Source organism: Homo sapiens, chromosome 1 (assembly GCF_000001405.40).
Source record: "Homo sapiens chromosome 1, GRCh38.p14 Primary Assembly".
NCBI lineage: Eukaryota > Metazoa > Chordata > Mammalia > Primates > Hominidae > Homo > Homo sapiens.
Window position 1 is genome coordinate 75487254 of NC_000001.11, and position 27409 is coordinate 75514662.

The 27409-nt window shown below is 36.0% G+C and overlaps 1 protein-coding gene across 11 annotated transcripts in view, besides 1 other annotated feature; it reads right to left on the reverse strand.

The window, feature by feature from the left end:
* SLC44A5 (solute carrier family 44 member 5) overlaps positions 1 to 27409 on the reverse strand; it is a 521887-nt gene that overhangs the window by 285125 nt on the left and 209353 nt on the right. The window lies entirely within an intron of this gene.
* Positions 27098 to 27298: a silencer, noted in NCBI's record as "peak289 fragment used in MPRA reporter construct". NCBI's record gives its function as "represses an SCP1 promoter by STARR-seq MPRAs in K562 erythroleukemia cells {active_cell/tissue: K562}" and the evidence as "EXISTENCE:reporter gene assay evidence [ECO:0000049][PMID:32103011]".

Sequence of the window (27409 nt, forward strand, 5' to 3'; positions counted from 1 at the left end):
ATAAAGAGAGAGAATAACAGGAAGAGGAACTCTTATGGAGTAGTGAAAAACTGGCAACTCAGAAGTGATGATACTTGGCTGAAACCTGATATATAAAATGAATCTAGCCTTGCAAATAGGGCAAAAATAGCTCCAGGCAGAGGAAACCACATCTATAGTAGCTCCGAGACAAGATAGAGTTTGGCACTTTCAAACAATTACAGAAAAGTGTGCATCACACATACTGCATAGAAAATGTCTTATCTAAGACCAGTTAATTGTTCGGGGTCTAAAGAAATAATCTGAATGGGCTACTACAGAGTTGACTCAGAGCTCAATGGACTGTGATCATTTCTATGAACCCTCTGAGGGCAAGGTACTCTACGTTGAGATGATTTTTGGCCAAGTCTAAAATATGGTCATCTGTCACTTAACATCATGAATCACTTCTGAGAAATGTGTCATTAGGGGATTCCATCATTGTGTGAATGTCATAGAGTATACTTACAAAAACCTATATGAGATCGCCTACTACCCACCTAGGCTACACTATATAGCCCAGGGGTCCCCAGTCCCCAGGTCACAGATGGTACCAGTCCATGGCCTGTTAGGAACTGAGCTGCACAGTGAGGGGTGAGCAGCAGGTGAGCCAGTGAAGCTTCATCTGTATTTATAGCTGTTCCCCATTTCTCACATTACCACCTGAGCTCTGCCTCCTGTCAGATTGGCAGTGGCATTAGATTCCCATAGGAGTGCAAACCCTATTGTGAACTGCACATGCAGGGGATCTACGTTGTATGCTTCTTATGAGAATCTAATGCCTGATGATCTGTTGCTGTCTCCCATCACCCCCAGATGGGACTGTCTGGTTGCAGGAAAATAAGCTCAGGCCTCCCACTGATTCTACATGATGATGAGTTCTATAATTATTTCATTATATGTTACAATGTAAAAATAGAAATGAAATGCCAAATGAATATAATGTGCTTGGATCATCCCAAAACCATTCCCCTCCCAAAGTCCGTGGAAAAATTGTCTCCCAAGAAACCAGTCCCTGGTACCAAAAAGGTTGGGGACCACTGGTATAGCCCATTGCTTCTAGGTAAACCAGTACAACATATTGCTGTACTGAACACTGTAGGTAATTGGAACACAATGCTAAGTATTTGTGTATCTAAACATAGAAAAGGTAAAGTAAAAACAACGTAGTATAATATTAGGGGATCACCATTGCATACGTGGTCCACATTTGACCAAAATGTCATCATGCAGTACACGATTGTAAAATTAACAAAGTACTGAGTTAATTTGTGTCTGAATTTTAAAATGACTGTCCAAATAATCCGGATTTTCAAAAAATCAACTGCCATCATTCATATTTAGTCTTCTGGAGTCACTCAATTGTGCATTAATGTGTTGGCAGTAACTAGAAATACTTGAACTTTAATTATTTTTTTAAAAAATCATTTATTTCCCTAAGATGAAATCTGTCATGTGATAATCAGATGTATGTGACATTTTTCTGTAGTTATAGCAATAATTTATATGTTCTGTGGTGAAATAACCTGATGACATATATACAACTTGCTAAAAAGTGTACAAGTCAAATGTCTAAGAAATAATTTAATTTTTTGAGACTGAGTTTCGATCTTGTTGCCCAGGCTGGAGTGCAATGGCGTGATCTTGGCTCACTGCAAACTCTGCCTCCCAGGTTCAAGCAATTCTCCTGCCTCAGCCTCCCAAGTAGCTGGGATTACAGGCATACACCACCATGCCTGGCTAATTTTGTATTTTTAGTGGAGATAGGGTTTCTCCATGTTGGTCAGGCTCGTCTCAAACTCCCAACCTCAGGTGATCTGCCTGCCTCAGCCTCCCAAAGTGTTGGGATTACAGGCCTGAAGTCAATTTTAATACTATGATAGCTGTTCTCCAATCCAAAATAAAAGTACCCTTTCCTTACTAAAAATAAGCCCAGAATTTATACATGAATTTAGAGAGTAATTATTTTAAAAAAAACATAAATTCATGTGTGTGAGGAGAGGAGGAGTCAGAAAGCTTTAATGAACTGAAAATAAAAATATTCAGAATTTTTGCTCCTTAACTCTTGCTTCACTAACAAAAGTGTGTCTAGAACCAAAATAGTTAGATGAAAAAGAAAAACATAGAGCCAGCTCTCAGATATTCTGTCTTTACGCTCACCCTGTAACCATGGAATACAGGATGCAAGGTCAATAACTAGGTTTTTCATTTGTTTGTTTGTTTGGTTGGTTGTTTTTAAGACAGGAAATTTTCAGGCGTAAGTCCTTAAAAAATCAGAAGCAGCACTAAACAGTTATCTATGTTTTAGCAGGTAGAAGCTTTAGATGGAATGGCCTGCCTTTGTTAGCACAGTGAGTCTCCATCATATCTTAGGTGATGGCATGAATGAAATAACAAATGGAGTACATTGGCAAGTCAAGAACACAAAAGACAACTTAAAAAAATTTGCCAAAGATACTGACAAAAAATAAGTAGATTTTAATATTCAAGGAAGGATATTTACAACCAATAACAACTTAGGTCTCCAACTATTTTAACAGTAGATGTACTCACTTTTAATAGTAAGCAAAATAAATAATTTGTACCTACTAAATTAGGAATATTAATCCTTTACTCAGCTTCATTACACACTAACCCATATAAAGAGTTAACAAAAAACAAGAGGTGATATTATTATATGTTCAATACGCTTAGGTATTTGATCTCCAATAAGGACACTAAAATTCACACTAATTAGAATTTCAGCTCCACATGAAGATGTTAAATTGTAAAATTAAAAAAAAATAAAGTTAATAAAACATCAGAAAAATAGTGAGTCAACAATGTCTCTCTAATATTTGTCTATTATTTTAATAAATAATCTATTCTTCCTATAAATCACTACATAAAACCTATAATAGCTCTGATGTTCTCATATCTCAGCCTAAGGAGGAATGAATAATGCATTGGATATCTAGCGATATGAAGAATCATTATCATTTACAGCAATTACTGACATAAATAAACAGAATGCTACATTTAACCACTGGTAGATATTAATGGATTCGTTCATTTAAAATTGCTTATGTCTTTAACAAAGGCATTTAGGATATCTTTGTGAATTAAGTGATTTTCTTTGCTCACCTACAAATGGCTTCTTTTTTCTAGGCTTTCCATAAAAAACACACTGGGACAATAGCTTTTTTAATTAATAAGGTTGGTCTCTCTATAGAAGAAATATTTATAATTTATGAAAAGAGCATCTTTCTTTACACTGTTTTATGACACATTATTGATCAATATCTGAAGAATAATTATTGAGACAGTTACTCAAAACCTTCTACACTCTCATTGTCTTTATCCATGTAATCTTGCCACTATTGTTCATTGAAGAGAGAAAAGTTTGTAAAAGATGCTTTGAAATATTGTTAGAGTTTTGTTCTCTCCAAAAACTAAAATATGTGTCTCCACATGCTCATTCAAGTTTGTATGTATGGATAGCACAGAATAGAAAGATTAATTCTATCTCCAGTGGTCAGGGAGAGACACATTCAAGAACAGTGTAATTCTTTACATGGGTTAGTGCATACAGAAGCTGAGTAAAGAATTGATATTCCTAATTTAGTAGGTACGACTTACTTATTCTGCTTATTATTAAAGGCAAGTAAATCTACTTTTTTAAAAAAAAAAAGTGATCTAAGTTATTTGTTCTTAACACTTGCTTCATATCAAATTTCCTTTTCTTCCTTGCTGGAAGAGCCTAGATTTTGTGCAGTATATACCCTCCTCTTTTACCACTCCAAAGTAAATACTTTTAATTCAAAGCCATCGTAGTAACCCCATTCCCCTCTCCAGGGATTGGCTTAGTCAGGGTTTGTGACCTAACCCTGGCAAATGAGCTATGAGGGGAAGTCTCCTGGGGCTTCTGGGTATAGTTTCTCTACTCTGAAAAAGACACATGGAAAAGATAGATCCTTTTCAGCAGGAAATTATTGTGACTGGTTGTGATACCATCTTGCCACCATCAGATAAACAGCTTGAGGTCGAAGTTGATATGCTGAGGATCAAAGAATTTTGAGACAGCAAGAATCTAGGATCTCAGTGATGTCACTAAGATGTGAATTAACCAATCCAGGAAACTCTAGGTTTCATGATACATTTCCTTATTGTTTAAGTTACGTGAGTTGAAGATTTCCTGTTACTTATAGTTGGAAGATTAAAATTAATTGAATACACAGAAGAAGGGGAGCAGTATACATATAAGAAACAGGATGTATAAAATCACAAAGGTGAGATAAAATATTGGATAAAAATAAATGAATGAGTGCACTTTTGATTTTCTAAGGAGCTTCCTGGCTCATGATGCTTTATTTTTCCCAAAACCATATACAGCTGTCCTGGGAAAATGTGTAGGTAAGTGTCACAGAGTTTAATAAACTCATACACTTGTGCATACATACACACACAAGCACGCACGCACGCACACACACACACACACACAGTATTATGCAGGTTTTTGGTAACATCACAGGATCTGCAGGAAAATATCAAGCTGTGTGGGAACATCAGTTGCTTGTTTCTAAAGAAAGGTTATTTTGTCTTAGAAAGAGGGACTTGATTTTAAAACATTTTTTATGATTGCAACAAGTGGACAGAATATGGGGTTTTCATTTCTTCCATTTTTTATTCTACCTTTTGTTCTACTTGGTGATACCTTGAGAAGCAGTGGAATTTATTTTAGTGACTTCAAGGTGTTAAAAAGTATCCTGAAATAGCCTGTGGCTGACTGAACACAATGGGTATGTTACCTGTTTTAATGAAAACAGGGATGTGCCGGGCCCTGCAGTTCATCTCTCTGTGGAGAGGATTTTGGCCTGCTTTGCTCTTTTGCCTTATCCCTGAAGTATCACATTTCAAAACATGATGAGGAGGTTGGTATGCCAATCCAAATTTTTTCTCTTGAAATGCACATCATGTGTAACATTTCAAAGGTCATTCTCTAGACTTTGTGCTTTTAAATTACAATAACAGGAAAATGAAATGAAAGCAACTAGCCTGTCAAAACTTTAGTAGCATAACAGAAACATTTTCTGAGAATATCCAGGAAGTTTTATTCAAGAAGACATTTATTTATTGAATGTCCACTATTTGCCCAGTGGCTATGACAATATCTGGCAAAAAGGAAGCACTCAATAAATATTAGTAGAATGAATGTATGATTGAATTAATGAATAAATAAAGATTAAAAAATGAAAAGGACACAGTCCTTTACCACAGAGATTATAGTCTAATAAGGAAGATATACACTGCTATAACTGTGAGGCAAGGTAATAAATTCTATAAAATACAACATGCTAAGAAAGCACATAAAACTTTATTAAATACACATAGATAAGACTAAGGAAGTGCCATAAAGGCAAAGATAAAGATATATTGCTAGAACAAGCTTAGAATTAAAGAAGGGCCATGTTCTTAGTCTCTGGGAAAGAGGGAAAAAGGTATTATGATTATTGCTTTTATTTACTCAGCACGTCTTCTCCCTTCCTTTGGTAACAAATTCTACCCCTTGGCCTGACCACAGTGCTACCATATTAAACAAACTAGATCAATGATGTTACTCATCTATTTGGGCACAGGAGATTGGGCAAGGAATGGGCAAATGTCCAAAGTTGGAACAAAAACTTTTCCTTGGAATTTTCTACCTGAAGGTAAGAAGGTAGTATCCTTCCTTTAGCTGGTTACAAAGCCCTTCATATAAAATCCTAGAAGTGACAAAGACCATGACCTCATCATGTGAAGAGTCCTGAATGCATTAGAAGAAAAGTCAAAATGCAGAGAAGTGAAAAAAGTATTATGGAATCATCTAGTTCCCTGATTCCAGACACATTCAGCGTCATGTTTGCCCTTTACAATTAGTTGAGTTAATAAAGCCCCTAATTTTTTTAAGCTACTTTGCAGATTTCTGACCCCTGAAACTAAAAGAACAATGACATACATAAAGAATGCCAGAGAATTTCAAGCCTTTGGTTGCGTCTGATGACTTTTTTCTCCATAATTGAAAGTAGATGGTATTTAACCTTTACATGTCCAAGCCAGATATCGAACAATACAAATGTACAATTATATACCAGTGAATACATGTGTATCATCAATATATGTGTAATCTAACAATATAGCCTGAAAATACAATATGCAAGAACAAACAGAATTGCAAGAAGAAATAGATAAATCAGCAACAAGCAGCAAATCTATTAGAGAAGAAACAGAGATTAGCCATGGGACAACACTAATTAGATTTTACAATGGAATTATCAGCCACAGTAGAGACTGAAAACACAATGTAATAATATCTTCAAAATCCTGAGGGGAAAAAAATAGCTTTTAATAAAAAAACTATACCTAGCTAAACTGTCATCAGGAATAAAGATATATTTTCAGATATATAATGACTTACAGAATATAAAACAAACCATCTCAGTAAGGATGTCAGCAAGATGACAGAATAGGAGGCACAGGATTCTCCCTCCACCCACAGACACACCAAATAAACAACTACACATGGATCAGTTTCATCTGAGAAAAATCCAGAAGCTTGTTTATAGACTCCTGTACACAAAGTGACTGAGGAAATTCTCACTTCAAAGCAGCATCTGCCTGAGGTTCTGGCTTTTAACTAGCTTGTGCTGGAAGCTGATGAGGTAAGCAATCTCTAGTCCTCTGGAAGCATAAAGGGGAATGTGGGCAATTCCTATGGCTTCTCTCACTGCTATGGTTTGAATGTTTGTCCTCTCCAAAACTCACATTGAAATTAACAAGTGGAACCTTTGAGAGGTGATTAGGTCATCGGGGCAATGCCATTATCAAAGGGTGAGTGTGGCCCCATTTTGTCTCTTTGCCTTTCTGTTTTCTGCCATGTGGTGACACAGCAGGAATGCCTTTGCCAGATGCTAGTGCCTTTATCTTGAACTTCCCAGCCTCCAGAACTGTGAGAAAATAAATTTCTGATCATTATAAATTACCCAGTCTCAGCTATTCTGTTATAGCAACACACAATTGACTGAGACATTACCCCCGGCCTCCTCCAATGATAAAATCAAACCCCCAACTTCTCCCTGGAAGAACCTGGACCACACATGTAGCACCCAACTCTTATAGCTAGTACCCAAGGAATTAACTCCAAACTTGCATATCTCTGGAAGTTGAGAATCTAGCATCAAAGTCACTGGCTCCTGGAGCTGATGAGACAGGCAATCACTAATGCCCTGGGAATTTAAACAGGCATGTGGCATGCCCAGAGCTCCTTCTCTGGGAATAAAACCAAGCCTCCAACTTCTCCCTAGGAGTTGGCCTACCTGTCTAGTATCCCAACTTTTCTGGTCGTTACCTGAGAAGCTGGTCTCTAGCCACCTTTATCTGACAGCTGATGGGGCCTGGCATTCACTAGACCCCTGAGAGTGACAGAGAGCAAAGAAGTGATTTGAAAGAGCATTCAGTCAGAATGAGCACACAGAAATTTTCCACAGCTCTCCTCTCTGGCTCAGTGAAGACTGAGAGGGGAATAAACCCCAGCTTCCAGCTTCTCCATGAAGAGAAAAGGAATTGGATCATACATCTAATACTCCAACTTTTCTAGCTGCTACTCTAGGGAATGGATCCTATCTCACTGTCTCAGAGCACTGATGAAACTTGGTAAACTTCAGTCTTCCGAGACCATTGAGAAAAAAGATGGCTCTTTGCAGCACATAATTTGAGAGGCACCCAGAATCTCTGAAGACTGGGAGAGATGGCTGTCTTACCTAATGCACAGAAACCAACTAGGAAAATGAGGAAACGGAAATATGTGACAAACAGAAGAACAAGATACTTGACCTAATGAAATTGAGATATGTAATTTGCCTGTTGGAGTTAAAAATAACCATCATAGGCCAGGCGCAGTGGCTCATGCCTATAATCCCAGCACTTTGGGAGGCTGAGGCGGGTGGATCATGAGGTCAGGAGATTGAGATCATCCTGGCTAACATGGTGAAACCCTGTCTCTACTGAAAATACAAAAAATTAGCCAGGTGTGGTGGCGGGCACCTGTAGTCCTAGCTACTTGGGAGGCTGAGGCAGGAGAATGGCGTGAACCCAGGAGGCAGAGTTTGCAGTGAGCCGAGATTGCGCCACTGCACTCCAGCCCGGGTGACAGAGAGAGACTCCATCTCAAAAAAACAAAGAAACAAACAAAAAGTCATAAAGATGCTCAATGAGATAAGGAGAATAATGTATGAACAAAGTGAGAATTCCAGCAAAGAAACAGAAAACAGAAAAGTACCAGGTATCATAGAGCTGAATAATACAATAACTGAAAAATTTCAATACAAGGGCTCAACAGCAGACTAGATAAGGAGAAGAAAGGTTCAGCAAACTCAAAGACAAGTATCGGAAATCCTTCAGTCAAAAAAGCAAAAAGAAAAAAATGAAAAAGAGTGAAGACAGCTTAAGGTAATTGTAAAACACCATCAGAGGCAATCTCTGTAAAAATGCAATCTCCACAAAAAATTTAATTTTTAAAATTTTTAGTTTTTGTGGGTATATAGGATGTGTATATACTTAAGGGGTACATAAGATGTTTTGATACAGGTATGCAGTATGAAATAATCACATCATGGAGAATGGGGTTTCCATCCCCTCAAGCATTTATCTTTTGTGCTACAAACAATCAAATTACACTCTTTTAGTTATTTTTAAATATACAATTATTCATTATTAACTATAGTCACCCTGTTGTGTGATCAAATACTAGATCTCATTCATCCTTTTTTTTGGTAATCCCTATCAAATTTTTAAAAGCAATTTTCACAGAAATGAAATCCTAAAATTTGTACAGAACCACAAACAACCCCAAATAGCCCAAACAATCTTGAGAAAGAAGAACAAAGTTGACAACATCACACTTTCTGATTTCAAATTATACTACAAAGCTATCCTAATCAAAACAAGATGATACTAGTATAAAATCAGACACACAGACCAGTGGAACAGAATAAGAGAGCCCAGAAAGAAACCCACAAATAAATTGTCAAATAATAATTGACAAGGGTACCAAGAACAGACAATGGGGAAAAGACAGTCTCTTCAATAAATGGTGTTGGAAAAACTGGATATCCATATGCAAAGAAAAGAAAAATGGAATTGGACCCTTATCTTACAATATACACAAAAATCAACTCAAAATGGATTAAAGACTTAAACCTGAGACTTGAAACTGTAAAACTTCTAAGAGAAAACATAGGGAACAAGCTCTATGATGTTGGTCTTGATGAAGATTTTTTTTTGCATATGACATCACAAGCACACAAGGAAACAGACAACAACAACAAAAAAAAAAACAATAAAAGTGGGACTACATCATGCTAAAAACAAACTTCTGCAAAGCAAAGGAAACGATAAGATGAAAAGGCAACCTACAAAATGAAAGAAAATATTCCAAACCATATATCTAATAAAGAGTTAATATCCAAAATATATAAGAAACTCATAGAACTTAATAGCAAAAATACAAATAGCCCAATTAAAAATATGGGCAAAGGACTTAAATAAAAATTTTTCCAAGGAAGACATAGAGTTTGCCACTAAGTATGTAAAAAGATGGTTAATATCACTAATCATCAGGGAAATGCACATCAAAACCACAATGAGATATCACTTCACACCTATTAGAATGGTTATTATCAAAAAGACAAAAAATAAGTGTTTATGAGAATGTGAGGAAAAGGGAACTCTTGCACAGTTATCAATGAGAATGTAATTTGATATAGTCATTATGGAAAACAGTATGGAAGCTCCTCAAAAAATTAAAGGAAGTACTGCTATATATACGATCCAGCAATCCCATTTCTGAGTACATATCCAAAGGCAATGATATCAATATGTCAACGACATATCTGTGCTCCCATGTTCATTGCAGCATTATTCACAATATCCAAAATATGGGAACAACCTAAGTGTCTATAGACTGATGAATGGGAAAAAAAATTGCCGTGTGTGTGTGTGGGTGTTTTATTCAGACTTTTATAAAGAAGGAAATCCTGCCATTTGTTACAATGTAAATGAAGTTGGAGGACATCATGTTAAGTGAAATAAATCAGACACACAAAGAAAGTTACTGCATAATCTCACTTATTTGTGGAATCTAAAAAAGTCAAATTCATAGAAGAAGAGAGTACAATGGTGATTTCCTGGAGTGTGGGGGGAGTGGTAGGTGGAGATGCTGGGCAAATGGAACAGTGTGTCATTATGTAGAATAAATAAGTTGTAGAGATCTAATGTACAGCATGAGGACTATAGTTAATAGTACCGTAAGACATATGTGAAATTTCCTAAGAGATTAGATCTTAGGTGTTCTTACCATACACACACAAAATGGTAACTCTGTGAAGAGATGGATACGTTAATTCTATATTCAGTTTGTAGTAATCAGTTTCTTTTGTATATGTATATCAAAACAATACATTGTGTACCTTAAATATATACATTTCAATTTAAAAAATGTTTAATTCCATAAGAAAAATAATTACTTAAGAATATACTTCATCTGGAAAGAAAATAAACTCAGAGGTCAGGTGTGGCTCACAAGAAACAATACCACAGAAATTGATTTTTTGAGTACTGCTGGATTTAATTGCTAATGACTACAAAATTAGTAACATATTTCATGTGTTTAAAAATGCAAAACCGAATTTCTACACAACAAGATAAGGAGGATGCTAATCAGTGGATATTTAAAGCATGCCAAGGTTTTCATCATGTTGAGGAGGAGGATAAGAATACAACTTGAAAATTGCTAGAAAAAGATCATTATGTATACATTAAGACTTTTTCAAAATTAAGATTATGTATACAATAAGACTTCTATTTCTGACAGTATATTACACTAAATAACCTGAAATTTGCCATTCATTCACTCATTCATTCAATATTTCTTAAAACCTGGTTTTAGGTCTATGTTTCCCAGTAGGTCAGATATAATGGTGCATGTACACTGCACCTGCTCAGTGTAAACTTTCCCTTTCCCACATATCTAATCTTAAATATATCCAAGCCAAGGAACCAACAATAAACCTTCATAACAAAACTACTGGAGTAGCAGCACAACCTTCCTAAAATTTGATATTACTTCAGTCCATTTAATCATAATTTCCTTTTTACAAATTCTAACCTTATGTTGCATTCTTTAAAATGCATAGGAAAATATGGTACTCATTCAACTGTCTTAATCTATTTTCTTTAACATAATAGCAATTTTTAGATTTGATTATAACATCTGCATGCTAATCCAGTTTTTTTTAACTTAAGTCTTCAAAAATATTTTCTATTTAATAATACAATGAAAGCTATGCAGTCTTTCTCTTTCTCACTAAAGTCAGACATACTTAGTGAAAGAAAAGTACACATTATCATCAAAATCATGTTTTTTAAATCAGCAGGCATGTAAATTTTTCATGAAATGAATTTAATCCAGTTGCAAATATGGATTATTTTCAAGATGAGAGAACTCATAGATCATAAGTACACTTCCTCTCTCAAATGATAGAATTGTATGCAATATATTGAAAGTCAAGTTTTTGCTATCAGCAAATATACTCAAAACAGGTTTACCTAGTGTTTTGTCTATAGTCATATGCCATGTAACGATGTTTTGGCCAACAACAAACCACATATATGAAGGAGGTCCCATAAGATTCTAATACCATATTTTTACTGTGCCTTTTCTATGTTTAGCTAAATGAATACTTACCACAGTGTCCTAGTTAGCTGCAGTATTCAAAACAGTAGCATGCTGTGTAGGTTGGTAGCATAGGAGCAATAAGCTATACCATATAGCTTAGGTGTGAAGTAGGTTATAACATCTAGGTTTGTGTAAAAATACTCTAAGGCAGTGTTCCCCAACCTTTTTGGCACCGGGGACCTGATTTTGTGGAAGACAATTTTTCCATGGATGGGGGCCGGAAGGGAGTGGTTTGGTAGTTTCAGGATGAAACTGTGCCACCTCAGATCATCAGGCATTAGATTATCATAAGGTGCACACAACATAGATCCCTCGCACGTGCAGTTCACAACAGGGTTTGTGCTCCTATGAGAATCTAATGCCACCTCTGATCTTGACAGGAGGCAGAACTCAGGCAGTAATGCCTGCTTGCCTGCCACTCACCTCCTGCTGTGTGGCCCAGTTTCTAACAGGCCACATACCAGTACTGGTCCATGGTTCGGGGGTTGGGGAACCCTGCTCTAAGGTGTTCACCCAATTATGAAGTTACCTAGCAAACAACGCATTTCTCAGAACATATCCCCATTATTAAACAATGCATAACTGTATTTATAAATATATTTTGTATACTCAAATAAGGCACAGGAACTTTTAGCTGGAGCTAGTTACCTCTTTGACTACCCTATCTCTTTCTCTTCTTATTTCAGGGCAGGAATATTTTTCAATACTGTATCATTTCATGTGAACACACTCAGTTCTTTGTCAAATGTACAGATGCAGCTAGTGTAAATATGCTCATTACCCACTATGGCAGAGAATAGCTGTCCGCCAACTCATTATCCCTTCTCCTGGGCACACAGCTCTACTGCACTTTCTAGCCTCCTTTGTAGTTAGGTGTGGGTATGCTAACTTAGTTCTAGGTAACAAAATGTGGACAGAAGTGATAGGCATTATTACTAGACCCTGCCCATAAACCCCTCCCATCCACTATCTGGCTGTCAATGCCCACGTGATGTTGAAAGCCACCTGCTAAAGATGGCATACCAATGAAGGCCAAGATGTCCAAATGGCCATGTGTAGCACAGTCCTCCTAAACCTGATTTCTACCATCCCTAACACACAAGTATACCATTGTGAACCCAATATTGCTATTATGTGAGCCGGAAATAAACTACTATGTTAAACCATGGCAATTTTAAGGTTTATTTAATAAGAGCAACTATTCTATCACAATCAATACTGAAAGTCATGCATCAAAATGGACTACTGCTATGAGAAAAATCTAAAATATGTGTCACTTGTGGCCAGGCAGTAAATAATAAGAAATTAATGTCTGAGGATCGAAAGATGGAGATTCTTGGCATGCAGTGGCAAAGCATTTGGTAAAACTATTGCCTGCAAAAACTGGAAGATAAACAAAAGTAATATTTACCATCACTTTATCTACCTTCTGCCAGTACACCCTTGGAAGCCATATGTTTAAAATGGAGGCTCCATAAAATTGAAGGAACATAGATGCTTGAGTCACTGCTTGTAGGAGAGGCCAACCCTGTCAATTATATACAAGATATTTTTTAACTTTATATGAAATGGAAATAAACTTTACAATATTAGAACCATTACACATTTTAGGTATTTTTGTTACAGTAGATATTTTGACTGATACAAACACTCTGAGGTTCCTTTGTAAAATTGAAGCAAATCACTTCTGCTCTTCAGTACAATTATTGGTAACAACAGAGAAAGTTACTTTGGTGAAAGAACCTTGAAAACTTCAAATCAATGAGCATTTCACTTCAAAGTCAGTATTGCGGGTAAGGATTAAAAGCATGAGTAAAGGGTTCCAAGGAGTCTAGTCTTGAATGCCAACTCTCTCATTTTCTAGTTGTATGGCCTTGAACAAATCGATGTATCATCTTGAAACCTCTTTGTTCTCATGCATAAATTGAGGATAACTTGCCCTAATTTGTAGGGTTGCCATAACAATATTACAATATACACAATATGCTTAAGGCAAAGTCACGCATTTAATAAAGTGCTCAGTTGATTCTTTCCTCATCCTATCGTATTTTCAGAGTACTAAATGAACCTTAGAAAACTAGTAGTTTGTATTGATATATAAGATCACTTCAGAAGAGAAGATTTAATTTAGTAAAAAACTCCATCCAACTCCAATGAACATTAATAAAAAAACATAATAAAGGCATAATACAAGTACAGATTAATAGGGTCAGGGAGAGACAAAGAGCCAGTCTTCCCAGCACATTTCAGTAAAAGCCTCTCCAGGAATTATTTCCCTCCTATATCTTGATTCCTCTATACCTCCTCAATCTCACTCTCCTTTGCCAAGTGCTGAAAGCCTAAAAGACAGTGACAAAATAGATAATAAATCAGATATTTCTTTGTCAACAGAGATTGTTACTACATTCCCATAATTTGCACAAAACTAAAGATAGCAGATCTTGCTACTTTTTCAAGGTAATCTCACATTATTAAGGGGAGCATTCCAGTAAGCATAACTGATAATGATAGCAATACTTTTATGTTTGCTAAGCATTCTATAAAGTTCAAAGCATTTTCAAATCCACTTTCTCATTATATTGAAAGAAACATGATCAAGTAAACCTTGCAGTCATGAATTTCATGGGCCAAGGAGAGTTTATGTTGGTTTTGTCAGTCTCCGGTAAACTGCCATATCACCCCAAAGGACATCTGAAATAGTTTACACTCCAGGTTCTTACACAGAGGCTTCTTGCTGAGTAATTATGCTTATCTGATGAATTGTTATCTGAATCAAAAGCTTCAGGCATAGAGAAATGACAGATGCCAATGAATAATGCCAAAGCCAAATGCTTAATAAAACAGCGTTATACAGCAAAATAATTAACTTCCATAGTTCTTTTTAAAAACCTGCTTTCTGTCTAGGCACACATGTGCTAAAAATGAATCTAACAAGTTCAAGTCACACATACAAAGCTGATAATTCAAATACAATGAGAATAAAATTACTGAAGTTCTTTGTGATGAAACAATGCATAAGATAGATTCAAGCCCTAAAAGCAAGTGTAAAAATCAGCACATGGTACCCAGTGACGTGCCAACAATAGTTTTGTTAACAAAAGCAACAGAAGAAAGGCCGCAATTTTGATGCACCAAGTAAATGGTCAAATTCTGTACTACACACACATGCACACTCACAGGCACGCACAACATGCACATACACACACATGAAGCTTCTCTGAGTACAGAGCTACTTGTTTCAAAGTCAGTGACAGTTCTGTGCCTGATAGACCTTGTTTTCCTGCAGAGGAGGGCACAGATTTAGCTGAATAAGACTAAACACTGATCAAAGGACAGAAAAACATTTTTGCCTGTATATCTGGCAGCATGTTTTTAGCCAGCAGCGTTTTACCTTAACATGGCCTCATGGGAAGTCTGAACTCACAAGAAATTAGTCATTTACAGTGCCAACTACAGTATGGACCCTCAATTAATAATCATGCATGAAGAAAATAAAGATATATTTCAAGATCTCTACTTTCTTTTTTATTTGTTTATTTTTTTATTATTATACTTTAAGTTCTAGGGTACATGTGCACAACGTGCAGGTTTGTTACATATGTATACATGTGCCATGTTGGTGTGCTGCACCCATTAACTGGTCATTTAGCATTAGGTATATCTCCTAATGCTATCCCTCCCCCCTCCCCCTACTCCACAACAGTACCCACTTTCTTAAAATAAAAATTTATATTCTTTTCACCTATAAATGGACTTAGAAAAATTAATATTACAAAAATGGCTCAAATAGGATTTTAGCATATTTTTTGAATAAGTCCCAGTATTGTAATGTAATAGGCCTCGCACTGGGAACTTAAGAGTGGGGGCTCCGCCTTGCTGAGCTAGCAATTTGCTCTGCCATGCCTCAAACCACTCAACCGCTCATGAGCCTTAATTTCCTTATCTGACTCACATTTTCCTTGCTTACGTCACAGAGTTATTCTGAGAATTAAATAAGATAAACATACTCTGACAATTAGAGTGTTACATGAACAAAAGGTACTATTGTCATTATGTTTTATTCGAAGTAATACAGCCACAGGAATCTTTACAAAAATACACAGATATTCCTGTATAGTTTCACTTTACCTCAACTCTTTCTCAAATCTTCTCTCAAGTCAGGCCAATTAACACTTCTCCTGGATAGTGTTAATACATATTAATAATTTATAGTTGTGGAGTCACTATCTCAGTACTTGAATCACATTCTCTTCAAAAAATGCACTAACTCTGGTTTGGCTCTGTGTCCCCAACCATATGTTACGGTGGGAGGTGACTGGATCATGGGGTCAGATTTCCCCTTTCTTTTTTTGTGATAGCCAGTGAGTTCTCACGAGATCCGGTTATTTAAAAGTGTGTAACACTTCCCCCTTTGCTCTCTCTCTCCTGCAGCCATGCGAAGACATGCTTGCTTCCTCTTCACCCTTCTGCCATGATTTTAAGTTTCCTGAGGCGTCCCCAGTCATGCCTCCTATACAGCCTGTGGAACTATGTGTCAATTAAACCTCTTTTCTTTATAAATTACCTAGTCTCAGGTAGTTCTTTATAGCAGTGTGAGAAAGCACTAACACACTCTTATAAACCTCTCAAGTAATATGTGCTGTAATCAAATTGTCCATTGGTAAATCAAGTTCCCACACATGCTGAAAGAATTATTGGCCTGTCATAATACTTAGGTTGCAATGAGAGAAAAAGATTGTGTCTACATAAACGGCCATGGAACTACTCTGACAATAATACTCGGTCAGGCTAATCCAACATGGAATATGCTCTGAGTCACCAAAAGTGAAAGCTGGAAAACCAGGTCTGTAGTGTATCCTGCCACTATATGTGTAGGCTGAATATGCAAAGACCTGAGGAAATGTAGGATATTTTTAAAGAGAGATTTTTTTTGTCTACATTTTGCTGCTTAGTTATGTTTTGTATTTTGCCCCTAAACAGTGAGGGGATTTTTTTTACTAATCTTTATCATTTTTTCCACTTTTAAAGATTCATTTTTGTAACTTTTATGAGATAATCAAACTACACAAGTATTTTTATAACTCTAAATCGGCAAAGTAACTCGATACATGCTTGTGTGTCATAAAGTTATCTTAAAATAATTAATATACAGTATTTCCATTTTCCCCAAGGTTATCCTTATTCCACAAATGAGAAATTCTCACATTTGTAATTTTACTTTTGGTCATTAAAAAACAGGGAAAAGCAAGCACTGCTGTTAAAATAATAGTTACCTTTAGGGGAAGTGGTAGTAATTGGGAAGGGGCATTAAAGGGATTCTGGGGGACCAATAACATATATTTCTTAATGTTTGTGGTAGTTACATGGATCTGTTTATTTTGCAATAATTCATCAAGCTGCTATCATATAATGATGTGTATATTTTTCTTTGTATGTATGTCAATAAAAAACATTAAAAATTGCATAGAACATAGGAATATTGAAAATTTATACCTCAATCACTATGCTAACCCCATATTTATGAAATTTTCAGTTTTACAGATAAAATGTAGACACAACCATAGATATATACCTTTTCTTTTCTTTTTGTTTCTACTAAAAAATATAAATCTTTTATATAAAGGACCAAGTAAAGGATGTCAATACTGGAAACTAATTTGAAATCTGTACATGTAAAATCATTGTGGAAGCCTGTCATTAAAGTTCTAAATTAGGGCAAAATCATTATCTTCTTTGCCTCAGTATACAAAAGTTTTCTGTAACTAGGGAAATACCGCTCTATCCCCCAGTTTGTCAGTGTAAATAATTATTTCCCTTTTTTATAATTTCAACTTTTATTTTAGATTCAAGGGATACATACATAGGTTTGTTACATGGGTATATTGCATGATACTCATGTTTGCGTTATGAATGATCCCATCATCCAAATAGTGAGCACAGTACCCAATAGAGTGGTTTTTCAGCTCTTTCCTCTTCCCCCTCTCCCCTCTCTAGTAGTCTTCAGTGTCTATTTTTCCCATCTTTGTGTCCATAGGTACCCAATGTTTAGCTGTCAGTGAGAATCACAATATTTTGGTTTTTGTTCCTTCATCATTTCATTTAGGATGATGACCTAGAGCTGCACCCATGTTGCTGCAAAGGACATGATTTTGTTCTTTTTATGGCTGCATAGTATTCCATGGTATTTCACAGTATATGGAAAATATTTTCTTTATTCACATTTTCTGTATTCAATCCACTGATAATGGGCACCTAGTTTGATTCCATGTCTTTGCTACTGTGAATAGTGCTGTGATGAACAAATGAGTGCATGTGTCCTTTTGGTAGAATGATTTGTTTTTCTTTGGGATACTAATGGGATAGCTGGAATAAATTGTAGTTCCGTTTTAAGTTCTTTGAGAAGTCTCCAAACTGCTTTCCACAGTGGCTGAACTAATTTACTTTTCCACCAACAGTATATAAGTCTTCCCTTTTCTCTGCAGCCTCACCATCATCTGTTATTTTTGGTCTTTTCAATAAGTCATTCTGACTAGTGTGAGATGGTATTTCATTATGGGTTTGATTTTCATGCCTCTGATGATTAACGGTATGGAGCATTTATTCATACTTTTTTCGCTGTTTGAATGTCTTCTTTTCAGAAGTGTCTGCTCATGTCCTTTGCCCACTTTTTAATGGGGTTATCTGGGTTTTGCTTGTTGAGTTCTATAAGATACTTTTGGATTTCAGATATTGGACCTTTGTTGGATGCATAGTTGCAAATATTTTCTCCTATTCTGTGTGTTGTTGTTTAATTTGTTGATAGTTTCTTTTGTTGTGCAAAATCTATTTAGTTTAGCTAGGTCTCACTTGTTTTTTGTTTTATTGAAATTACTTTTGAGGAAAGACTTAGTCATAAACTATTTGCCAAGACTAGTGTCCAAAATGGCATTTCCTAGAATTTTTTCTAGGTTTTTTATAGTTTGAGGTTTACATCTAAATATTTAATCCATCTCACATTAATTTTTGTATATGGTTCAAGGTAGGGGTCTAGTTTCATTCTTCTGCATATGGCCAGCAAACTATCCCAGTACCATTTATTGAATAGGAAGTCCTTTCCCCATTGCTTATTTTTGTTGATTTTGTTGAAGACCAGACAGTTGTAGGTGTGTGGGTTTATTTCTGGGTTCTCTCTTCTGTTCCATTGGTCTGTATGTCTGTTTTTGTACCAGTACGATGTTGTTTTGGTTACTGTAGATTTATAATATCATTTGAAGTTGGATCATGTGATGCCTCAAGCTTTGTTCTTTTTGCTTAGGATTACTTTGGCTATTCAGGTTCCTTTTTGGTTCTATGTGAACTTTAGAATAGTTTGTTTCTAATTCTATGAAAAATGATGTTGATTGATAAGAACAGGCTTGAATCTATAGATTGCTTTGGGTAGTATTGCTATTTTAATTATATTAATTTTTCCAATTGACGAGCATGGAATGTATTTCCATTTGTGTCATCTGTTATTTCATTCAGCAGTGTTTCGTAGTTCTTGGAGAGCTCCGTCACCTCCATGATTGGATGTACTCCTTGGTATTTTATATATTTTTGTGGCTTTTGTAAATGGGATTATATTCTTGGTTTGACTCTCAGCTTGAATGTTATTGGTGTAGAAATCCTACAGATTTTTTACATTGATTTTGTATGCTGACACTTTACTGAAGTTGTTTATCAGGTTTTTGGTGGAGTCTTTTGGGTTTTCTAGGTATATAATCATATTGTCAGTAAAGAGAGATAATTTGACTTATTTTCCTATTTGGATCCCTTTAATTTATTTCTCTTACCTGATTGCTCTGTCTAGGACTTTCTGTGCTATGTTGAAGAGGAGTAGGAATCCTTGTCTGGTTCCTATTCCTATTCTTTTTTTTTTTTTTTTTTTTTTTTTGAGACTGTGTCTCACTGCCCAGGCTGGAATGCAGTGGCTTGATCTTGGCTCACTGTAATCTCTGCCTCCCAGGCTAAGTGATCTTCCCACCTCAACCTTCCAAGTAGAATGGAACCACAGGCACAATGCCCAGCTAATTTTTGCATTTTTTGTAGAGATGGGGTTTTACCATGTCACTAAGTCTGATAGTTCCTATTCTTAAAGAGGATGCTTCCAACTTTTGCCCATTCAGTATGATGTTGGCAATGGGTTTATCACAGATGGTGCTAATTATTTTGAGATACATTCTTTCAATGCCTAGTTTGTTGAGAGTTTTTATCGTGAAAGGATGTTAGATTTTATTTAAAGCTTTCTCTGCATCTATTGAGATGATTGTATGGTTGTTGCTTTTATTTCCATTTGTGTGGTTGATCACATTCATTGATTTGCATATGTTGAACTGACCTTGCATCCCAGGAATGAAGCCTACGTGATCGTGACAAATTAACTTTTTGATGTGCTACTGGATTTGGTTTGCTAGCATTTTGTTGAGAATTTTTTTGTGTCTATGTTTATTAGGGGTACTGACCTGTGGTTTTATTTTTTCATTGTGTCTTTGCCAGGTTTTGGTACTATGGCGAGGCTGGCTTTATAGAATCAGTTAGGGAGAAGTCCCTCCTCCTCGATTTTTTAAATGGTTTCAGTAGAATTGGTACCAGCTCTTCTCTGTACCTATGGTAGAATTCAGCTGTGAGTCTGTCTGGTCCAGGACTTTTGGGGAGTTGGTAGGTTTTTTATGACTGATTCCATTTCAGAACTCAATATTGGTTTGTTCAAGGTATCACATTTGTCCTGATTCAATCTTGAGAAGTTGTGTGTTTCTAAGAATTTAACCATTTTCTGTATACTTTTTAGTTTGTGTGAATAGAGTACCCACTCAACATTGGAACACCCAGATTCACAAAACAAGTACTTCTAGGCCTACAAAAAGACTTAGATAGTCACACAATAATAGTGGGAGACTTCAACATCCCACTGACAGTGTTAGATAGACCATCAAGACAGAAAGCTAACAAGAAAATTCTGGACTTAAATTTAACACTTCATCAATTGGATATCTACAGAATATTCCATCCATCAACCATGGAATAAACATTCTTCTCATCTACACATGAAACATACCCTAAAATTGACCACATGCTCAGCCATAAAGTAAGTCTCAATAAATTTAAAAAAAATCATACCAATCATACTCTTGGACCATAGTAGAATAAAAATAGAAATCAATACCAAAATACTACACCATTATATGGAAATTAAACAACTTGCTCCTGAATACTTTTGGGGAAACAATAAAATTAAGGCAGAAACAACAAAAATTCTTTGGAATAAATGAAAACAGAGACATGTCATCCCAAAATTTCTAGGATGTAGCAAAAGCAATGGTAAGAGGAAAGCTTATCACACTAAACACCTACATCAAAATTTAGAAAAATCTCAAATTAACATTCTAACATCATACCTAGAGGAACCAGAACAACAAGGACAAACTAACCCCAATGCTAGCAGAAGAAAATAAGTAACTAAAATCAAAGTACAACTGAACAGTATTGAGACACAAAAATCCATATAATTAATAAAATCAAAAGTTGGTTCTTTAAAAGGATAAACATGTTTGATAGACTGGTAACTAGATGAAGAAGGAAAAAAAAGAGAGGATCCAAATAAGCACAATCAGAAATGAACAAGATGACATTACAACCAATCCCACAGAAATACAAAAGATTCTCAGAGACTATTATGAACATCTCTATGCAAACAAACTAAAAAATCTAGATGAAATGGAGACTTCCTTCTTTATGTAAGAAAAGGTTACAAATAGAATGGGAATAAATGAAATATTCTTAGTATATTAATATGAGAGAATAATTTAGGGAATCTAGGGAAGAGAGTGAAAAAATGCTAAATCATTTGACCTATGCCACACCTTTGAGATGTTGACCCACAGTGGGTTTTTCTAGACCTTCTGAAGAAGGCTATGTAAATTATTTTTCTAGAATTAAAAGGAAATACACGTCATGATGACAATGACAAAGCTGGGAACCAGTGAAAGTACATGGAATTTGGATTTGGGTTAGGGGAATGGAAATGACTTGGACAGACTGGCATGGGCCTTCAGAAGCAGTTGATTTTTCTCAGGCATATCCACAGACCATGCCCCACACCTCGTGCTTCACACTGAGATAAAAACTACTATGAAGGAATATCTATAAATATCTTTGCTAACAGAAAACTCAAGACTTGGGAAAGTAAGGTTTCATTTTTTTATTCAAACTGAAAGCTTGAGTTTGGGATGAGAAAAGAGTAAGAGAAATGAATGATTATGAGATTATGCAGTGTGATTCGTATTTCTGAAACTGTTTGATATCAAAAACATAAATTTTTTAGTTGGGACAAACACTCATCTTTTGAGAACTAGAAGACTCAATATGTTTGCCCACAAATTCACAACTTTGATCGGAAAGGCTTTAAATAGGAAATGAAAGTGGTAAAATAAAAATGTTTGGTTAAAACAATGAAAATAGAATGGTTACTTTGGAGGACATGAGATACTGGAAGAAGACTCACAATGGAAAAGATACCCAGTAATTTATAGGAGAAAACTATTTGTAAAGAGGAGGCAGATATAAGAGTTATGATGTAAGTTATCTATCCTCCAAAGCACCATGGTTCATAAATTTAAGAACTAACACAAGGAAGTAAATGGAATTTTATTTATTGAATGCTAACTATGTGCTAAGCCCTGTGTTACAGAGACAAAATACAGTGCCTGAGAACCTCAGTCCCTAAGACCCACAGTCTAGTGAATGACGCAGATTATAGGGCTTACAATTAAAGTATAGTATTTTAAATACTGGTAAAGATTCATATGGATTTCTATGTGTAGTAGTCTGTTCTCATGATGCTAATAAAAACATACCCGAGACTGGGTAATTTATAAAGGAAAGAGTTTAATTGACTCACAGTTCCACATGACTGGGGAGGTCTCACAATCATGATGGAGGACAAAGGAGAAGCAAGACACATCTTACATGGCAGCAAGAAAGAGCATGTGCAGGGAAACTCCCCTTTATAAAACCATCAGATCTCATGAGACTTATTCACTATCATGGGAACAGCATGGGAAAGACCCACCTCCATGATTCAATTACCTCCCACTGGGTCCCTCCCATGAGACATGAGAATTATGGGAGCTACAATTCAAGGTGAGATTTGGGTGGGGACACAGCCAAACAATATCACTATAAAATCTGAGATGAGGGACATCTAACGCACACCAGACAGTCATGAAAAAACTAAAAGTAAGTAGACCTTGAAGAGTCCTAAAATGCAGCAGAAAGTCCAAGGATGTTCTAGGAAAATAAGAAAAATACTGTATTTCTCAAATTTGATAAGATAAATTTCCAACTAGATTTAAGAGATAAAAATTTATATGCCAGTGAAAAGAAATCAAGATTGAAGACAGAGCAGTGATATGGGTACAAAAATTGAAAAAGACAAAAGGAGAGAGAAAGAGACATGAGACTTATTCAGGTCATGTACTATAGGCTATTTGGCCAGTTGGGGAATATGAATATCGCATTCCTGATACATTTTAAAGGCAAACAGGAAATGAAAACTCAAATTTACTGAACATCACTATGGAGCTACAAGACTATGCTAAACAAATTCACATATACTGCCTCAAGATATAAAAATTATGGGAAACCTTAAATAGCCAGGCATTCTGTGGAAGTCTATTTGCTAAATTCAGTGCATCTCATAAATTCTTAATGTGCCTTGATAAAAGTCCCTGTTTGAGAAGTTAGAAGAAAAAAATAAAGATATCTAATCTCTGAACCCAATTCTGATCAACAACAACAACAAAAATAGTTAAAGAAAAATGGTAGGCCGGGCGCTGTGGCTCACGCCTGTAATCCCAGCACTTTGGGAGGCCGAGGCAGGTGGATGACGAGGTTAGGAGATCGAGACCATCCTGGCTAACACGGTGAAACCCAGTCTCTACTAAAAGTACAGAAAAATTAGCTGGGCGTGGTGGCAGGAGCCTGTAGTCCCAGCTACTCGGGAGGCTGAGGCAGGAGAATGACGTGAACCTGGGAGGCGGAGCTTGCAGCGAGCTGAGATCGCGCAACTGCACTCCAGCCTGGGCGACGGAGCGAGACTCCGTCTCAGAAAAAAAGAAAAGAAAAAGAAAAGAAAAAATGGCACAAACCTTGGGAAAAATTCAAAATGTTGCCTTAGATCTTGCTATAGTCAGGAACAGAAATGCTAAATGTAGTCAGACTTGTATTCTAAATATAGTTAGATTTGTTATTGGACATTACTTTCTGAACTTTTCAAGTATAGGGACTTCTTTTAAATGTCAAACATGTTTCATAGACTTTTACACGGTAATTATATCAGTTAATTAAAAATATACATAAAGGCTATGGATGGGCAGGGGTATTGAATAAACACAGCTACGATAAAAGCACATGTGATTTTTAGAATCTGCTTGAAATTTTTATCCAAAAAAACTACAAATGCAGAATAATATAAAATCAGCCTAGCAGAGTATTTCTTATTTAAAAAATATCATCTATTAAATTTATTTTAATATATTCCCAGTACAATTTCACCAGCATTATTTTTACAAGGGATTAACAAAGTGATATAACTAATGCACTTTTATGAAAGTCACTCTTAAAAGATGGGATGCCTGTTTTTGCCAGTAAGAAGTGGACAATTTCTCAGTTTGGGGATGTGCATTACATCTTTAAGGCTAGCCTGGGGTCATTTAATAAATTATCTTTCCAAGCACTAAATAGCTGCTAGCTTCAAAGAGTTAGTGAACCCCTTAAAAAGCAAATGATTTATTTCTTTCTCGCCATTAGGGTCAAGCCAGACTATTCATTAATCCTCTTCCCATTCAAGTGAGGCATTAAAGAAACTCATATTATAATCTCAACTACATAGCTAGGACATTAAGTCCAGAAGGGCTTACTGACTGCAGAAGGCCACGAAAAGTTATGTGGAGGGCTGTGACAGGAACTCATTAGCTTCTGAGTCCTGTGCTAAGTCCACAGAGCAATCAAGTTGATGTGCTATAGCTTGGCCTCAATAAATGAAAATGTGCTCATGTAAATAAGCACAGCCCACGTAAAAAATAAAAGCGTTGAGATACGGATTTCTCCCTAAATATATAATCTACTTTAAGGAATTATTTTATAAATGAAAAATAAAAATTGACTCAAAATTTATTTACAAGCAGATTTTCAACATCTAAGATGACTGACTGCAGTTCAATAAAGAGTACTAAAACCAGAAATCCCTTTCATGTAATATTAAAAGAATCAAGTTTACTCCGAGCCGAAGGCCCAAAAGATGGCAGTCTGCATCTGGGTTTAGACTAAGCAAAATTAATCCCATTTTAACTAGAATGACTGACTATGCCTTCACCTCTGTAGATTACTTTCTTGAGTTTTTTTTAGCATTTTCTGAATCCAATTTTTAGTTAGTGTCTGAAGTTGATTTAGATAAGCATATTAACAGCTGAAACTTTTATCCAACAATCATTCAACAATGATTTGGTGTCAGACACAGTGTATTGATGTTAAAGTATGTGAGCAAAACAAACAAGTTCCTACTCTCATGAAGCTAATGAGAGAGACAACATAATATGCACACAAGTAGATATTGGATGTAGTACTATGAAGCGTAGTGATCATAAGAGTATATTGGAGGTAATACACGTAGTACCCATTGTAATGGAGTAGGAGTAGAGGAGAAGGCAGTTGGTAAGATTCTCCTGAGGAAGGCTGATGCAGAGCTAACTAGCCAAAGAGGGATGGGAAAGAAATAGCTATGGAATCATATCCCATATTTACATTTCCCACAGATATTTTATGCCATGAGTTTCACTTTGTTGTGTGTTTGCTAACCATGCCTACTTCATTATTATTACTAATTTACTTGGGCTGATCATAGTATTCGGGACTTTTTCATCCATTATCTTAATTCTATTTGATTCTCACAATGACTCTATCAATTAAGAAGGATGATACTGTTAGGTTCATTTCACATATGAGAACCTTGAGCCTGAGATAAAATACTTGCTCAATGTCATATGGTTAGTAAATAGCAAATCCAGAATTGGAAGTCAAATCTTCTGTCCAGTGCAACTGAAGAGAGACTTGAATCTCAACTACACAGACAAGATTAAACAGAAGGGATAAGTCCAATAGTGGCTTATACAGACAGCCAACATTTATAATTGAGGCAAAGCTCATGTGGAGTCTGAATTAAATGAACTGGCATAACACATTCCACAAATCCACTTGCCGGTATACACTATTTTAATGGAGGAATCATGTTTATTACAATGCAGTCACTTGGCTTCTCAAATTCATAGTTAGATATTTTATTCATAGAGTTTAAAATCTGAGCATTTGTAAAGTGCAGCTTTGTCCATAGCTTTACCAATTGGTACTAGATAATTGGATGGAATAAACTGCCCTATAACATAAAAGCTTAAGAACAAAACCAGCTTGATTTGTAGAATATATCAGAGGGCTAATACTAAATTTGAAGCTTATCTCAAATGGAAGATACAAACAAAAATATGTTTTTCTTTTTTACATCTAAAACAACTCTAGTTAGATTTAAATTCCTAGTTAAACTTGCCAGCCACTCACTTGGAAATGAATGCTATGCACCAATCTTGATTGGTACACAGCTAGAGGTAGACAAGGAGTTCCAATCCAACATACAAAAGGGAGCCTTTGAAGAGAAAATTATACTTTTCCTATTGGCTCTTCTCTTCATTGTATGATGAGTATATTGAATCTTATTCTAATTTTAAATCAATGCTATATAAAGGACTGCCATATTATCATTGTCTATTTGAATTACAGCTCTGTTGCACAGCCTGGAGTGCAGTGGCACAATCATAGTTCACTGCAGCCTTGAACTACTGGGCTCAAGCAATCCTCCTGCCTCAGCCTCCCAAGTAGCTAGTAGTACAGGCATCACACCTGGCTACCACAGCTGGCTAATTTAAAAAAAATTTTTTTTTGTAGAGCTGGAGTCTCTCTATAGTGCCCAGGTTTGTCCTGAACTCTTGGCCTCAAGCAATTCGCCCTCTTCATCCTCCGAAAGCACTGGCGTTACTGGAGTGGGCCATGAGCACCCAGTCCCCTTGTCACTATTAATATAAAAAAGAACTCTGTACTGGTTGGCTCTTGTTTAATGTCTCTTCTTCACATTTGTTTGAACCAAAAATTATGAGCTAAGACTTGATAGCTGTATACTTTAAATCCACCTTCTGAGCCTCTCAAAGCTGATCTATATTCTTATATACTTATCTTTCAGCCAACATTTGTCTGTCACACCAAAATTCTGAGAGTGACAACAATTTGTAAAAATGTGTTACATTTCCAGATGAGTCAGTGCGGTCATCATGTGAAGTACTCAGATACTCTACAGGCCCCAAAGGAAATGCTAACATGGCATCCAAGTGAAAAACAGAGACATAACAGACACTGAATGGGCATGATTCATTTCTTTTTGGACTCCTTCCCTCTAATCTGAGAATCTCTCTTTCACCAAAATAAATTTTATTTGGAACACATTATTTGGTACTTCATTAAGTAATTAGTGTCTTTAAACACACATCATAGGAAAACACATGGGTTGCACCAGCTAAGCAGTTC